The sequence below is a fragment of the Homo sapiens genome, chromosome 1 (assembly GCF_000001405.40).
Source record: "Homo sapiens chromosome 1, GRCh38.p14 Primary Assembly".
NCBI lineage: Eukaryota > Metazoa > Chordata > Mammalia > Primates > Hominidae > Homo > Homo sapiens.
In genome coordinates, this window is record NC_000001.11 from 38,555,416 (window position 1) to 38,569,506 (window position 14,091).

Genomic DNA, 14,091 nt, shown 5'->3' on the forward strand with positions numbered 1-14,091 from the left:
AGGGGTGTGGGGGAGACAGAAGGCCCCCAGGTTCTTTTCCTGATTACCGAGGTTCAGGGTCCAGCCTGGGAAAGGAGAGGAAGGAGGAACTCACAATTAATGAACTCCCCAGATGTGCCAGGACCAGTGCTAGGTCTTCTACCTGCCTTAATTCATTAAATTTTCCCACTTTGCCAGACACAGTACCACTTGCTTTGTGTTTATTGCAACTCTGGTTGATTCTCCCAACAACTCTGAGAAGCAGATGGCAGGGCTATTATTCCCACTTTATAGATGGGGCAGCTGAGGCTCTTGTGTGTCAGGACCTGGTTTGGAACCCAAGCCTGTCTGACCACAGAGCTTCAGACTCTCATATCAGCAGGTGTCCCTAAGGGCATCAGTGAAAGTCACAGCCAATACTCTTATAGCCGCAGCCACAACCAGCAGGGTTACTGGAGGGAAAGGGGAGGGAAAGAGGGTGTTGCATTGCTTAGTTGTGTTTATCTCTCAGCTCCCCTTCCCTGTCCTCTAATCAACAGGGTAGAAATATGGCCCCTTAAGTGTGAGTATCATCCTCCACAACAGTGGAGACAGCAGCTTATTCATCTGAAGACAGAAAACTTGCCTTGGCAGCCTGAGGCCTGGGAGTTATGTCAGAACTTTCAGAATGGTTGGCGGTGCCTTTGCCTGTGCTGGTCCAGGTTCTACGTCGACTTGGAGAAGCTTTTTACTGCGTCCACTGAGGGACGCCCAGATTCCTCAGAGGGAAGTCGGGTGTGCCGGCTGGAGCACAGCAGGGGTCAGAAGGGGCCTGCCTGGCTTCCACCACAGCAGTGAGTATCATTGTCCTTCACAGGCCTTCTCTCCTCGCAGGGCCTCAGTTACTTTGTCTCTGTGGAATAAGGGGGGTTGTACTTCCAACTCTGAAATGTCGATGATTCTCCCTCAACACCTTGACATTTGCTGAGGAACTTGGCAATGGGATGCGGATATAGGTGTCCCTAAAAGCAGTGCATGAATCAGATCCTCATTATGAAACCACACTTGTGTAAAGCAGAGAGCCATGGTGTAATGTGAATAACCAGCCTCTAATTCATCACAAGCTTGTAGATGTTTATAGAAGCCCAGAAGGAAGAGAAAGAAGAAAGGAAGGAAGCAAGAGACGGGGGAAAGGATGGAAGGGGTTAGGAGCAGGCACTTGGGAGTCAGAGGTTGTCAGTTTGGAGTTGGTGTCTCTGCTCTTCCAGCATGACCTTGGAGAAGTCACTTGACCTCTCTCAGCTTCCATGTTCTCATCTGTAAAATGGGGAAACAAGTACCCACCAAATAAAATAACCTATTTGAAGGGCTTACCAGTCCTGGGCACTTAATAAACTCAATCAAATATAAATTATTAAACAAAGAAGGAGAGAGTAAAAACAAAGAATTGAAGGAGCGTTTTGGGGAGGACAGGAAACCCTGATTGAACCACACTAAGCATGGGCCTGGTATTCTCAGCCACACAACCACAAGGAACATACCCAGAATCATAGAAAGGTTGAAACTGAAGGGAAGGACTGATTTCTCCTTTTCTTTCTCAAATTTGGGGATGTGAAGTGAAGAGGTAGACATGGGGATCCTCTTTAGGCCACCCCAGATTCCAGTTGCTGCTGCTTATATTGCTTTGAAATACACCCCAAAACAATCAGCATACATCATCCAGAAAAGCGCATTCCCTGCCCCACATAGACATAAGCTCTTGTGTATGCACTCTCACAAGATATTTCAAAACGCTCACTCGCTCCTTGTCCCACACACTCACATGCATCCCCAACAAGATTTGAGCAGCAAGGTCAATGCTTCTCCTTGTGAATTACCCTTTTATCACTTTGAATTGATTATCTTAGCATTATTTCCCTCCCCCACTCCCAATGACATCCCCACCTCTCAGACTGGGTCCAGTTCCTCTGTCCCGGGCTATCAAAGCCCTGTGCTCCTTTCTTGCATGGCTCTCAGCATAGTTTATCGTCACACATGGATGTGCACAATTATTTGATTTGTGTCTACTTCCCCTCCTAGACTTGCTTCTGCTTCAAGGCTTCAGGAATCAAGTCTGTTTGGCTCATCCTGCACCTAGCACCACGGCTGGCAAACAGTAACAGTTTAATAAATACACATGGAATGTTGAAATGAATGAATGAGCACATAATAATGAGTCTTTTCTAACTCAAGGCCTCAACACCTCAGACCCCATCCCTGACCCTGCCTTGCTGCAGGGACCTTGACCTTGTATGATACCCCAGCCTCTGCTCTGAGTCCAGGGCCTCTGCCCTCTGCCTCTGCTCTTTAGCTTCCTTGGCCAGGTGAGGCCCACTTTCTGGAGTCCAGACAGCCTCCTCTTTTCTTCAGCAGTGAAGCTTACGGCCTCTCTTCCAGAAGGGTGGGCAGGGATCCCACCTTAGCATTCCCCAGCTCTGAGCTGGGGTCACAGTTAGGATACAACTACTTCAAAGGGGTCTTCAGGCCAGTGAACCCTCTGACCCTTTTCTGACCTCCCCGCCTTTTTCTACCTGCCAAACTCAGCACTTTCCCTCCCTTCCTTTATGCCCTTGACTCAAGCCTCGGATTCATTTTTTAAAATATTTACATTTCCACCCTTCTTCAGGGGACTCTGTCTCTCTAATAAATAGAACATGAGCAGCTGCTCTCACCTGACCCTGCAGCAGCACTGGGGGTGGTGGGGAGCCCTGGCTGCTGCCATTCCTCTCCACGCAGGCGCCCTGGTCAGACCCGCTTCTTCCACGCTGCCCTGACGGCCACCCACCCCCAGTCATTGTCTGATCCCACTCCCAGGAGCCCAGCGGAGCCCTGCCCTCCCCCTCATTAAATCAGTGGCCATGCTCCTAGAGATGCGACAGAGGCAGCTGCCTGGCTTCCCAGACCCTTGTGGGCCCAAGGGGTTGATTAGCATATTGTTGTAAGGAAAGAAGCCTGGAGTAATCCTTTTTCCTATTGATGGTAAATAACATTACCTGAAGGTTCCTCCACCCCTCCAGCCGGCCAAAAGCAGCCAGAGAAAGCTCTGATTCTCCTCTCCTGTTCTCTCCCTCGTCCCCAACTCCCCTCCTCCTCCCCCTCTCCCTCTCACCTCCTTTCCCCCCCTCCATTACTCTTCTCCCCAGCCCCCTTCTATCTTCACCTTAGCTCCCTCCTCTTTTAAAAAATGCAAACACAGGAGCCACCAGGAAGCAGCTCATCGTCTCCTCTGAAGAGGCCAGGCTTCTGCCTCCCTTACAGCTGGGGGCGCCTTCGCAGGACCAGTGCTTTGCTCTGCCTGGAAAGCCATGGGAATGACAAATCTTTGGACAAATTACTGATTTCTCATCTAATTTACATCCAATTAGTGTGAGTGAAATGAATCATGTGGTCAGCCCCTCAGGGGAAACATTGAGATAACAAATACCCAGGGCTTCTTTCCTGGGGAACTGACGGGCCCTGGGGGAAGTCCATGATTTACCCCTCGGGTCAGAGGCCCCCTCCCTTCCCCCAGGCAGGTTACCCAGCCCATAGATCAACCCCGCCCCCTCCCAGCCGCCTGGACAGGCCCCAGTGAGTTCAGGCCGGTAAAAAGGATGGGCTGGGAGAGGACCAGGTCTCACGTTGCGCCCCGACTGTGGAGATCCACTTCAGATCTGAGTGCAGCCATGAGGTTTTGGAGCAAGTGCCAAGTCCTGGGCTGGCGGCCCTCATGCCTTGAATCTCCGCCACCCCCATAAGGACGTGGAGAGGTAGGCAGTCCCAGGCTGGTGATCCTAACTGGTGTTTTGCTGCTATTCACCGCATCTCAGGCCCCCGTTTTCAATGCTTAGCGCCGTGGCTCTTAACCCTCACGACAACGACAACATACTCTAGAAGGCAGGCACTACTAGGGCCTCTGCTTTACAGGGAGGGGAACTGAGACTGAGACAGGAGTTAGCCAGGAAGCTGCGGGGCTGAGAGTTTTGGACACCGGCAGTGTGATCCCAGAGTCCAGGCACTTAACCATCAGGGCTCCTTCTGCTACGTGCATTTTGCAGAGGAGGAAACTGAGTCTCAGAGTGGTGCAGGGGAAGTCACTGGCCAAGGTCACGGAGCGCTTTTTGGCAGATCAGGAAGGTCAAGTCCGGTACGATTCTTCCGCTTGCAGCTTCGTGTTGCTCGGTGCGCAGGGCAACGTCAGAGCACCTCTGACTCCAGGGAGGTGGAAGCGGCTTCCGGGGTGAATGCGGTTGGATCGTGCGAGGCCGCCACCACTGCCAAGAAAAGAAACACACCACCGCACACCTTGCCATCCCTGGGTCACCACTTCCTTCTTCGTGTATGAAGAGCAGCAGACGGAACTCAGCAATGTTTTTCTAACACAAGAAGGATGACTTTCCGAAATCGTTTGAAGTGGGAAGACTGGGGCGAGCGGGCGGGGCGGGGCGGGGGGCGAGCGGGAGGGGCGGGGCGGGGGCACGGGCTTCTTGTCTGAACAGTGCAGTGGCTGCATGTTTGGGGTGAGCTTGATCTTCCTGTGTAAACTTGTTTCTAGTCTGCTATTTAAAACCTGGCATATGGATGGGATCTCAGCTTCCAGTACTGGCAGTTCTTAACATTCACAGCGACTAAATAAAAAGGGAATTTTAAAAACCAAATGCAGTTTTACCCCATAATGAGGCAAAGAGAGAAGTACTAAGAAGTTAACAACTCCCGAACTCAGGCTCAGCCAACCCTGTAAATGTGGGGGCCTCTGCAATGCAGCGTGGGGTTCAGAGGAAAGGAAACGACATTTTCTGAGTACCTAAGGTAGGCCTTAGCTTTTTGTGCTGGGGGCTTAGCCCCAGGGTTAGGATTAGGGTTAAGGGGATGGCCTTCGTAGTCAGCCACCAGGTTTTGAAGCCCAGCTCTGTCACTCACTACCTGAGTGACCTTGGAAAAGTTACTTTACCTCTCTGAGCTTCCTCAGCCCTAAAACAGGCCTAAAAGCAGGACCTAACTCACAAGGATGCCATCAAGATTATGTGAGCTAATGTTTGTAAAGTGTGTAGCTTGATACTCCGCACATACTAAGTGTGGAAAAAAAAACCCGGTATTATTACCTGCACATCTGCTGGGGCCGTGAGGATTATTTTCCCCATTTTCGGCTATTGAGGCTGCAGAGGATGCTATATGTGCATGGAAGGGGGTGCATCTCTTTCGAGGGCTGAAGACAACCTGTAATCCCGGGAATGGTAAACAGAGTAAGAAGAGAGGCCTGAGATGGTTAGGGAGTGAAAACACTGAGAACAGGTTCTGGAAAGAAGGAAGGGGCTATAGCGGGCATGTGACTTAGGTCACCATGGGCAGGAGCAGAGTCACAAGGCTCCTGGGGCAGCAATCAGGTAGATTCCTCTCTGGGACCCCAGTAACAACAAAAATTATTACGTGCTTACTATGTGTCTGGCACTGTTCCAACTACTTTACAAGTTTCATTTGTTTGTTTTCACTTAAGCCTCAGAATGGTTTATCGAAGTGGTTATTATTATTTTTGAATAGGAAATCAAGGCTCAGAGAATAAAGATCCAAGGTCACACAGCTAGAGAGTGAGTGACGGGGCTGGGTAGTCAGGCTCCTTAACTAAACCTGCTTGGTTTACTGCCTCTACCAACACAGGTCTTGGCACCAGGGGCATTTTATAGCAGAGAATAAGTAATTGTCCTGCGAGGAAGGTAGAAACAGCCCCTTTTGTCTAAGTAGACAATCAACTTAGCTGTCAGCCTCATTCATCTCATTGGGGCAGAGGCCCCTAAGACTCATTCAGGACTGCTTGCAGAGTGCCTTGACAATCAGACCACACCACTTGAACAACCAGCAAAGAGCCTGTTCCCTGACCACCCCCACGAGGGAACCAATACTCCCTAGATGTGTGACCTCAGTTTCCTGATCTGTAAAATGGGAAGATCATGGTACCTACATCCTAAAACTGTTAGTGAGAATTAAGTAAAGCAGCTAGAACTGTACCTGGCACAGACTTCTCAGTTCTGTTGTTGTAACCAATGAGGAAACGGAGGTTCCGAGTGGTGAAGCGACTTGTTCAACTGCACAGCAGCAGATGAGATCAATATCAGAAATGTTTCCTTTGAACACTGCTTGGTCAGCAGGGCTGGAAATGGGGCCATGGGTGTTGCTGGGGAAATTGTCTGGGGCACCTGCTGGAATCCAGTGATCTGAAGGACCACGACCCCAGTGATGTCTTGGGTCATCTTTGACTCACTTGTCTCAAAACACATGGATGAATGCCCCTGCTTCGTAGAAGCTCCTCCAACACATGTCCCATCCCGACTCTCCATTTCTCCGGAGAGTTCCTTGGGAGGAAGAACTTTGTCCTGGCTCAGAGATTCGCCCCAGGCACTGAGGACGTATGGGCTCGGAGCTCCTGCTTCAGAGCCTGCCACTGTCAAGACTTATGGTCGCCTCATCTCTCCCCCTCGCTGGGTCTGGCTACATCACTTATCTCCCTGACGCTGACCTGCCAGCAGCTGCAGGAGGCTCTCTCCGGTAAGATTTGATTAATGAGGTTCAGCAGCAACAAATCAGTCTTATGGAGCAGCCCTCGCCTCTCTGGGACACACTCTCACAACACCCGCTGCATACAAACTGCCCGGTGGGTGTGGGGCTGCTCCCAGCCATGCCTGTCAGCAGCCCCTGGCTCAGTGTCCCGAGTTCCATGGGCCAGACCTGCCTGGAACTCACAGCTCACCCACCAGTACTCACTGCACCCGTGTACAAGCAAGAGGTGCTCATCTTGTCTTCAAGAGAATCATATCTTAAGATAATAATATGATAGTGTAAAAAATAACAGCTACGAGGTGGGAGGATCATCTGAGCCCAGGAGGTCAAGGCTGCAGTGAGCCACTGCACTCCAGCCTGGGTGAGGGAGTGAGACCTATCTCAGAAAATAAATAAATAAATGAATAAAACAGCTACTATTTGTTAACCATATGCAAGGCACCTGCAATCTTATCTAATTGACAACCCTTTTGAGTGAGGATTTTATTATTCCCATTTTAAAGATGAGGTAACTGAGATGCAGGTGGGCTGGTAACTTGCCCAAAGTCACACAGTTAGAAAGTGGCAGAGCTGGGATTTGAACCCCGGCATTCTGGCCTGTAATCATACTTCCTTGCGTGCTTGAAATCTTACAACCTTTTGGAAATATGATGAAAGTGATAGTCCTTCTCCTAGCAAAAAAAAAAAAAAAAAAAAAAAAAAAAAAAAAAAAAAAAAAAAAAAAAATTATCCTATCTATACACCCATTGCTCTACAATTTCAGCATATGCCGATGTACCCACCTTGAATGCCATCCATGGTCCTGAGAACCCCCACTCTCACTCACTGTAAGACTTAGTCACAGCCTTTCCTCCTTGGGGCCTCAGTCTCCCCTGTAAGGACAGACTCTGGGGGATCCTACCTCCAAGGGCTCATCCCTCTCCTACTCTCTCTGTCAAATACATGATACCCAAGTCCTGCTTCCAAGTCTCATCTGTTCTCTCACATTTGGAAAGTTCTCGGCATTGGAAGGCAGAACTGTTCTTCTCTCTGAATTTCCAACCACTAAATGTGTATCACCCATCCCATCCCACCCTTTCTCCTTACCCCCCAGTTTTATTGGAACTGTTTGTTTCTTAAGCAGTTACAGGAAGCCCATGGCGCGTCAAGGTCCATCCATTCCTTTGCAGCATAATCTACACATCATTCAAGTGCATGCCCCTCCAGCCACTGGTCAACCCATGTCACCTTCCTGGGAGCTTTTCTGAAGTGAGTGCCCTGCTTGGCTGCTCCTTGTCCCCCTCCCCCGACCCCCACCACTTCCTCTTGCCCCTGGACCACCAGGCCTCGAGCCACACCCTTTCTCTGGAAGGTGAAAGAACACTGGCTCTCCCCTTTCTGTTCCCCTCTTTACCTTCCCCAAAGCCCTCACATCCCAGAAACATTTGTCAGAGATTTGCCAATAGTCACTTTTTCATCTGCTGGGGCAAGAGTCATCTTTGCATATAGATGTTTTGTAATAGATGCTGCATTGATTATGTTAAGTTCTTTTGGGAATCGCCTGGCCATTTCTGGGTCCTCACTGACCAGTTCCACCTCCACCACACATCTCAGATCTCCTGGGTCAGGAGTGCTGAGCCACCTGAACCAGAGGCTGCGGGAAGGGGCACAGCCCCAGATAGGTGGGGACTAATGGCTGTACCCAACCAAGATGAAAGTGCATGGCCCACTCTTTTTTGGATGGGCTAGATAAGGAAGGTCCATGTCATCTCCACATGGCCCGTTTCTCAGTTGGAGTTATAATGATGACCCTGGTGATGAGCATTTTTTGTACTTTGCAGTGTAGAAAGCAAAGCACACTCCTCCATTAGTTCATTCTATGCTCACAATCACCTACATGCAAGGGGCTATGATCAGGCCCACTTTAGAGATAGGGAAAGTAAGGCGCGGAGAAAGGACTTGCACAAGAATGCGTGGTTCACACCTGGCAATTCCTGCCCTTGAACCCAACTCGTAGAACTGTCAGATCGCTACTTTTTCTCTTACACCATTTTGCTTAAAAGCTCATTTGCAGAGAGTGGCATTTCTAAGGTACTCTTAGATTTCCTCCCCGTGTCTCAGTGTCCTCCAGGAGTGTGCAGGGAACAGCCTGTGGTTATGCGCATTTGTGCTGGGAAGAGATGTAACTATCCATGTGCAGGACATTTGGGAGGGGTGGGAGTGTGTGGGTACGTGGCCCTGTGCAGGTTGAGTGTGCATGTGTGTGAGGAGGTGGGTGTGGGTGAGTATGAGCTTGCTGGGTGTGGGGAGGAGAGAGCACACTCTGCACATTCGTGGGGGTGTGCAGTGTATGTTGTCACGGGTATGAGCCCCCAGCCTGCTTCCTCCTCTGATGGCTCACTCTGCACTTTGTCTTCAGAGCCCAAAGCCTGTGGGTTCAGCCTCTTAGGACAAGAAGACTGGGGTGGATCACCATTTGCAGACTATCTGGGGATGACTTTAAAATAAACACTCTAACGAAAGTGCTCAGCCCTCCTCCAAACATGCTCCCCCTGCAAGCTGGGGTTGTGGTTCAAATGCTTAGAGTTGGCTCTCCAAAGGGAAGTGCCTTTGAAGTCAGTGAGCAAGTCACCCTGAAAGGAGCCACAAGCATGTCTTTTTGTAGGTGCAGGATGTGGGCACAGAAGGGTCACTGTGGAATAAGGCCAACAGTCCCAAGTGGCAGAGGTGGAGGGAAGAAGGATCAGGTGTGCAAATCCCTGTGGGACAAAACACCTCTGGTCACTGTGCCCAGGGGTCATGGGGAAGTTGGCAGGGAGATCAAGGCAGCTCAGCTGGGCTGCTGAAGATCTTGTATCCCAGGCAGGCAGACCCGTGGATGGGGTCTAGCGGTCTGCCTACGATCTGAAGGCATGAAGGCTCTCAACCCTTCCTCTGGCGAACCTCCAGCTATTTGACTAAAGAGGTCCGGAGGGGCCTTCTCATTGAGTGAGCACTGAGAGCTCACAGAGAGGCCTGGATGTTCCCCCGCCAGCCCCCACCATGGTCTGTGCACTTGCTAGCTTCCAAGTGGACCCAAACACTCTGAAAATGGCCTCTAAACCATTCATAACACTGAGTCTATAACTGAGCTGCAGGCAGGAAACAAAGTCCAGTCAAGCTGGTGGAGTGCCAAATGTGCCCAAGCCAGAGGATGGCAGAATTCCCTTTCTGCCTGCCCCCAGGTTGGCATTCCCTGCAGCAACTCCGGAGCTTCCCCTGGAGCTTCCTGCTCTGGCTTCTACCTGCACTTGGCACCCCCCTGTGCCAATTAGAGTCACACCTCCCATTTAACCAGAAGCACATTTTCCAGCTTGTTCTTCCACCAGGCTGGGCTCCAAATGCCTCTTGTGGTTGTTTCCCGAAATCAAATCCAACCTCAAAGCATGAAGATTTGCCATTATTAAAGACGAGCAAAAGCATATGCCCCAGGCTCTGGAGAGAATTTCTAATGAGGATTCCAAAGATCACAGCCGGCTCACGAGCTCTTGGAATCCAGTGGGCCCTTAGCAGTCATGGAGCCCTCTAATTACATTCCCTGAATATCCCAGCTGTACCCGCCACCATGCCCGTGCTGCACCGCTCCCACAACAGTCATCTGTGTGATGTAGAGATGGTGTTTAAAGTCCGCGAATAAAGGGAAAAACCAAGCATGGTCAAAATTATCCTTACACATCCTTTAGGAGGGAGACCAATATACCATCTCTCGGTGAGTCCAACACAGCTGGGTTTTCCTTCAGCGTCAGAACAAATCGCTTTTCTTTGGGTTAAGCACCAGATGAGGTTGTTGGCTTGATTTGAGGGGCCACGTTACATAAAGGATGCATGTCTTTGAACACTAGAATCACCCTCAGGGTGATACTCACAGGAAGAGAGGCACAGAGAGCCTAAAAGCCATTGGGGAAACTGCAGGATCCATCTCCCATCCTGTGCTTCTCCTTGAGTGAAATGGGGGTCAGAATCCTCCGCTTCATTCTCCATACACACCTTGTTGTTGTTATTGTTGCTGTTATGATTATTATGCTGTGTGCATATACATTACTATGCTGTGTGCGCATATACGTTATGCTGTGTTCAAATGCATGGAGTACAATCTCCCTGGAAGACTCATCTCTGGCACCGCAATTTATTTACATCGGCCGGGCACAGTGGCTCATGCCTGTAATCCCAGCACTTTGGGAGGCTGAGGAAGGTGGATCACTTGAGGTCAGGAGTTCAAGACCAGCCTAGCCAGTATGGTGAAACCCATCTCTACTAAAAATGTAAAGATTAGCTGGGTGTGGTGGTGCGCACCTGTAATCCCAACTACTGGGGAGGGTGAGGCAGGAGAATTGCTTGATCCCAGGAGGTGGAGGTTGCAGTGATCTGAAATCACACCACTGCACTCCAGCCTGGGTGACAGATGGAGACTCCATCTCATTAAAAAAAAAAAAAAAAAAGAATATACATAAACTTACATCCTTCAGGGCTGCTTGTGCATTCTAAATGCCACTTCTTCCAGGAGGCATTCCCTGATTTCATGGGCTGAAAGTGGTGTCCCCCAACTATGAACTCCCACAGGATATTATCTGTACCCATCTGATGACGACTGATGCCACCCTGTGCCTCATATCATAGTAACTATGTGTGTATCTTATCTCCCCAAGTATGTCAGGTCCCTGTCTGCTTCACCTCCAGGGTCCTGACAATATTTGGCCCAATGTCTCCCATATATGCCTTATCAATAAACATTGATTCAAAGACTAGATATATGAATGAATGAATGAGTGATGAAAATGGCTCATCTTGGGACACAAAAACATCTCTACCTTCTGATACAGAAGCTCTGTACTGCTGGATTCAGCACAGGCTAGAGAGAGGACTTCCATGTTGACCTGACCCCGTAGATTGTATTCCTTTGAGAAATGTCTTTCCATGCCTTCTCCACTCCCTTCCTCTGCTAAGCTGCCTTCCCTGACCAGATTCTTCACTTTTTTTTTTTTGAGATGGAGTTTTGTTCTTGTTGTCCAGGCTGGGTTGCAATGGCGTGATCTTGGCTCACTGCAACCTCTGCCTCCCAGGTTCAAACGATTCTCCTGCCTCAGCCTCCTGAGTAGCTGGGACTACAGGCATCTGCCACCATGCCCGGCTAATTTTTGTATTTTTAATAGAGATGGAGTTTCACCATGTTGGCCAGGCTGGTCTTGAACTCCTGACCTCAGGTTATCCACCTGCTTCAACCTCCCAAAGTACTGGTATTACAGGCGTGAGCCACGGCACCCGGCTGGATTCTTCACATTCTGGTGCATCCAGTGGCACACATTTGCACAGCAACAAGAGCAAAGGCCTCCACACCCTCCACTGCTGCCCCCCACAACCGCCACCAGCCCTGCTAGGTGGGAAGGGAAAGCCTTAATATCCCCATTTTATGCACCAGGAAACCGAGGCTCAGAGGCGTGTGCCTGGCCCACCATCACACAGCTAATGAACAGCAGGGCCTGGATTTGTACGAGTCAAAACCTTTTTTTTCCTTTTTTATTTGATCACATGCTATCTCTAGATAGAGATGCCATATTCTGTTTATAATGACCATCCAGTTAGTGTGGAGGCTCTACCCCTCCCAGGACAAAGAGATGCCTGTGGACAGTGTCCTAGTGACTTCTTATCCCATGGGAGCGTGTAATGTGGAAAGAATTTAGGAACTCCCTGCTGAAGGGCCAAAGTGCAAAACATGCCTGTGATGTGGGCATCGGCAACTCTGAATGCCCCCTTATATATGACAGGTCACCTGCCCCCTTTGCCGAGGTCTCTCAGGATGCTTGGATTTCTATATTTTCTTCCGAGACCCTGGTACCCACCTCCAAACTGCATATCTTTAATTGGCAGGTCCCCTTCCTTACTTTTCACCCATTTCCTTGTGGCCAAGGACCATCTCCACTCCTCCAGAGGATGGCACAGCATGGGAAATGAGGCTTTGGGCCTAGCAGATCTGGGTTCCAATCCTAGCTCAGCCTCTTTAATAGTTGTGTGACTGCTGGCAGTTACTTAACTGCTCTGAGCTCAGTTTCCTCCTCTGTAAAACCAGGATAATACATCAAAGGTTTTTTTTTTTGGTTGTTTTTTGTTTTTTTTTTTTTTTTTACATGAAGCTAATGACCTATGAGTATCAAGATTCTTCACTCAGGCCTCATTTAGCTGGAATTCAGAGTGATCTGAAGCTAATGCTATACAGTGGTCAAAAGCAAGTCAGACCACCTGGGTTCAACTCCCAGATCCTGCACTTATTCACCTGCTGTGTGACTCTGGGAAGTTTACTTGACATCTCTGAGCTTCAGATTCCTCACCAGTAAAATGGAGATAAAAACAGTGCCTAACTCGCGGGGCTGCTTTGCACTGAAAAGCCATCACTCACATTAACAGCTTAGCACAGTGTCTGGAACTTGACCAGTGCTTAGTAAATGTTTGCCATGAATTATTAGCCATTAGTAATGTATTAGTGAATTGGTGGGCAGCTCTACAAGGAGCAAATTTGCATAAGGTTTTGACTATAGGAATGGGAAGGTAAACAAGACATTGGTCTCAGATCTTGGTCTTTGGGGCTGTCTGGCATCTGATCCCTGTTGAGGGACTAAGCAGCAGGCAGAATGAAGGTGAAGAGCCATTTTCACACACCAAGTTACAAAATGTGACACAGGATGGTTTAAGGCAGTGGCATTTCCAGGAAATATAAAGCATCTATTTATTGAGCAGCTATTATGTTCCCAGGCCTGTGCTTGGTGCTGAGGTTGAGTGGTGAGCCGGAGATGCAGCCCTGCCCTCGTGCAGCATGGAATCTGGTGCTGCTTGTGGGTCTGCACACCAGGGCACTTCCCTCAGGGTGAATTCTAGCAATCTTGCGGGGGCCCAGCAGCCTCTGCCAGTTCCAGGCTGCAGATATTCCTGGAGGAGTTTGGAGAAGCAGAACATCAGAGAACAATTACCCGCCTCACAAAAGACACCCCAGAGGGCTTCCAGAAGTAAGAGGGTGAGATCGTGAAAGGGCAGGTGGGAGCGCGAGGGTGCATTCAGGGCTGTGATGGTGGAAGGGTGGCATTACGACCTGATGACCAGTGAAACCTGGGGCAGTTAAGGATCGGAATGTGGAGCACCTGATACGAGGCACAGCACTCCGTCGAGGAGGGCTGCTTTCTGCCCCTCGCAGGGCCTGCCCACAGACACAGACACACTCAGCACCCTCCACATTCATTCTACATGCATGTGTTCAAAACACACAGCCAGCACACATGGAGCATTCCACAGGGTGCACACAGGGATACACCTCACAGTGTACTCAGAAGACACATACCTCAGACCTCAAACACAAACCAGAGGAGCCTCTCCCCCTGACATCTCCACACACCTCTGCCGTCTCGCTTCCCCTCCCTCTAGCATCCTGTGGACTTTGGGTGCTGGACAGTTATGGGCCCCAGTCCCAGCCCTGCCACCTCGTAGCTGTGTGACTTGGTAGAGTTAAACTCTTTGAGTCTCAATTTCCCTTTTCTACAGAAGAGGAATAGCAAGACTCCC

The 14,091-nt window shown here is 49.7% G+C and overlaps 4 annotated features.

The window, feature by feature from the left end:
* Positions 213–1,412: an enhancer, noted in NCBI's record as "BRD4-independent group 4 enhancer chr1:39021300-39022499 (GRCh37/hg19 assembly coordinates)". NCBI's record gives its function as "activates an origin of replication core promoter dependent on BRD2, P300/CBP, MED14 and CDK7 cofactors, and independent of BRD4, by STARR-seq in HCT116 cells {active_cell/tissue: HCT116}" and the evidence as "EXISTENCE:reporter gene assay evidence [ECO:0000049][PMID:35650434]".
* Positions 3,640–3,729: an enhancer, noted in NCBI's record as "active region_797". NCBI's record gives its function as "activates an Ori minimal core promoter by ATAC-STARR-seq in GM12878 lymphoblastoid cells {active_cell/tissue: GM12878}" and the evidence as "EXISTENCE:reporter gene assay evidence [ECO:0000049][PMID:35858748]".
* Positions 4,031–4,646: an enhancer, noted in NCBI's record as "H3K4me1 hESC enhancer chr1:39025118-39025733 (GRCh37/hg19 assembly coordinates)". NCBI's record gives its function as "activates a minimal SCP1, AML or CMV promoter by ChIP-STARR-seq in primed H9 embryonic stem cells {active_cell/tissue: H9 hESC(primed)}" and the evidence as "EXISTENCE:reporter gene assay evidence [ECO:0000049][PMID:30033119]".
* Positions 12,971–13,578: an enhancer, noted in NCBI's record as "H3K4me1 hESC enhancer chr1:39034058-39034665 (GRCh37/hg19 assembly coordinates)". NCBI's record gives its function as "activates a minimal SCP1, AML or CMV promoter by ChIP-STARR-seq in naive H9 embryonic stem cells {active_cell/tissue: H9 hESC(naive)}" and the evidence as "EXISTENCE:reporter gene assay evidence [ECO:0000049][PMID:30033119]".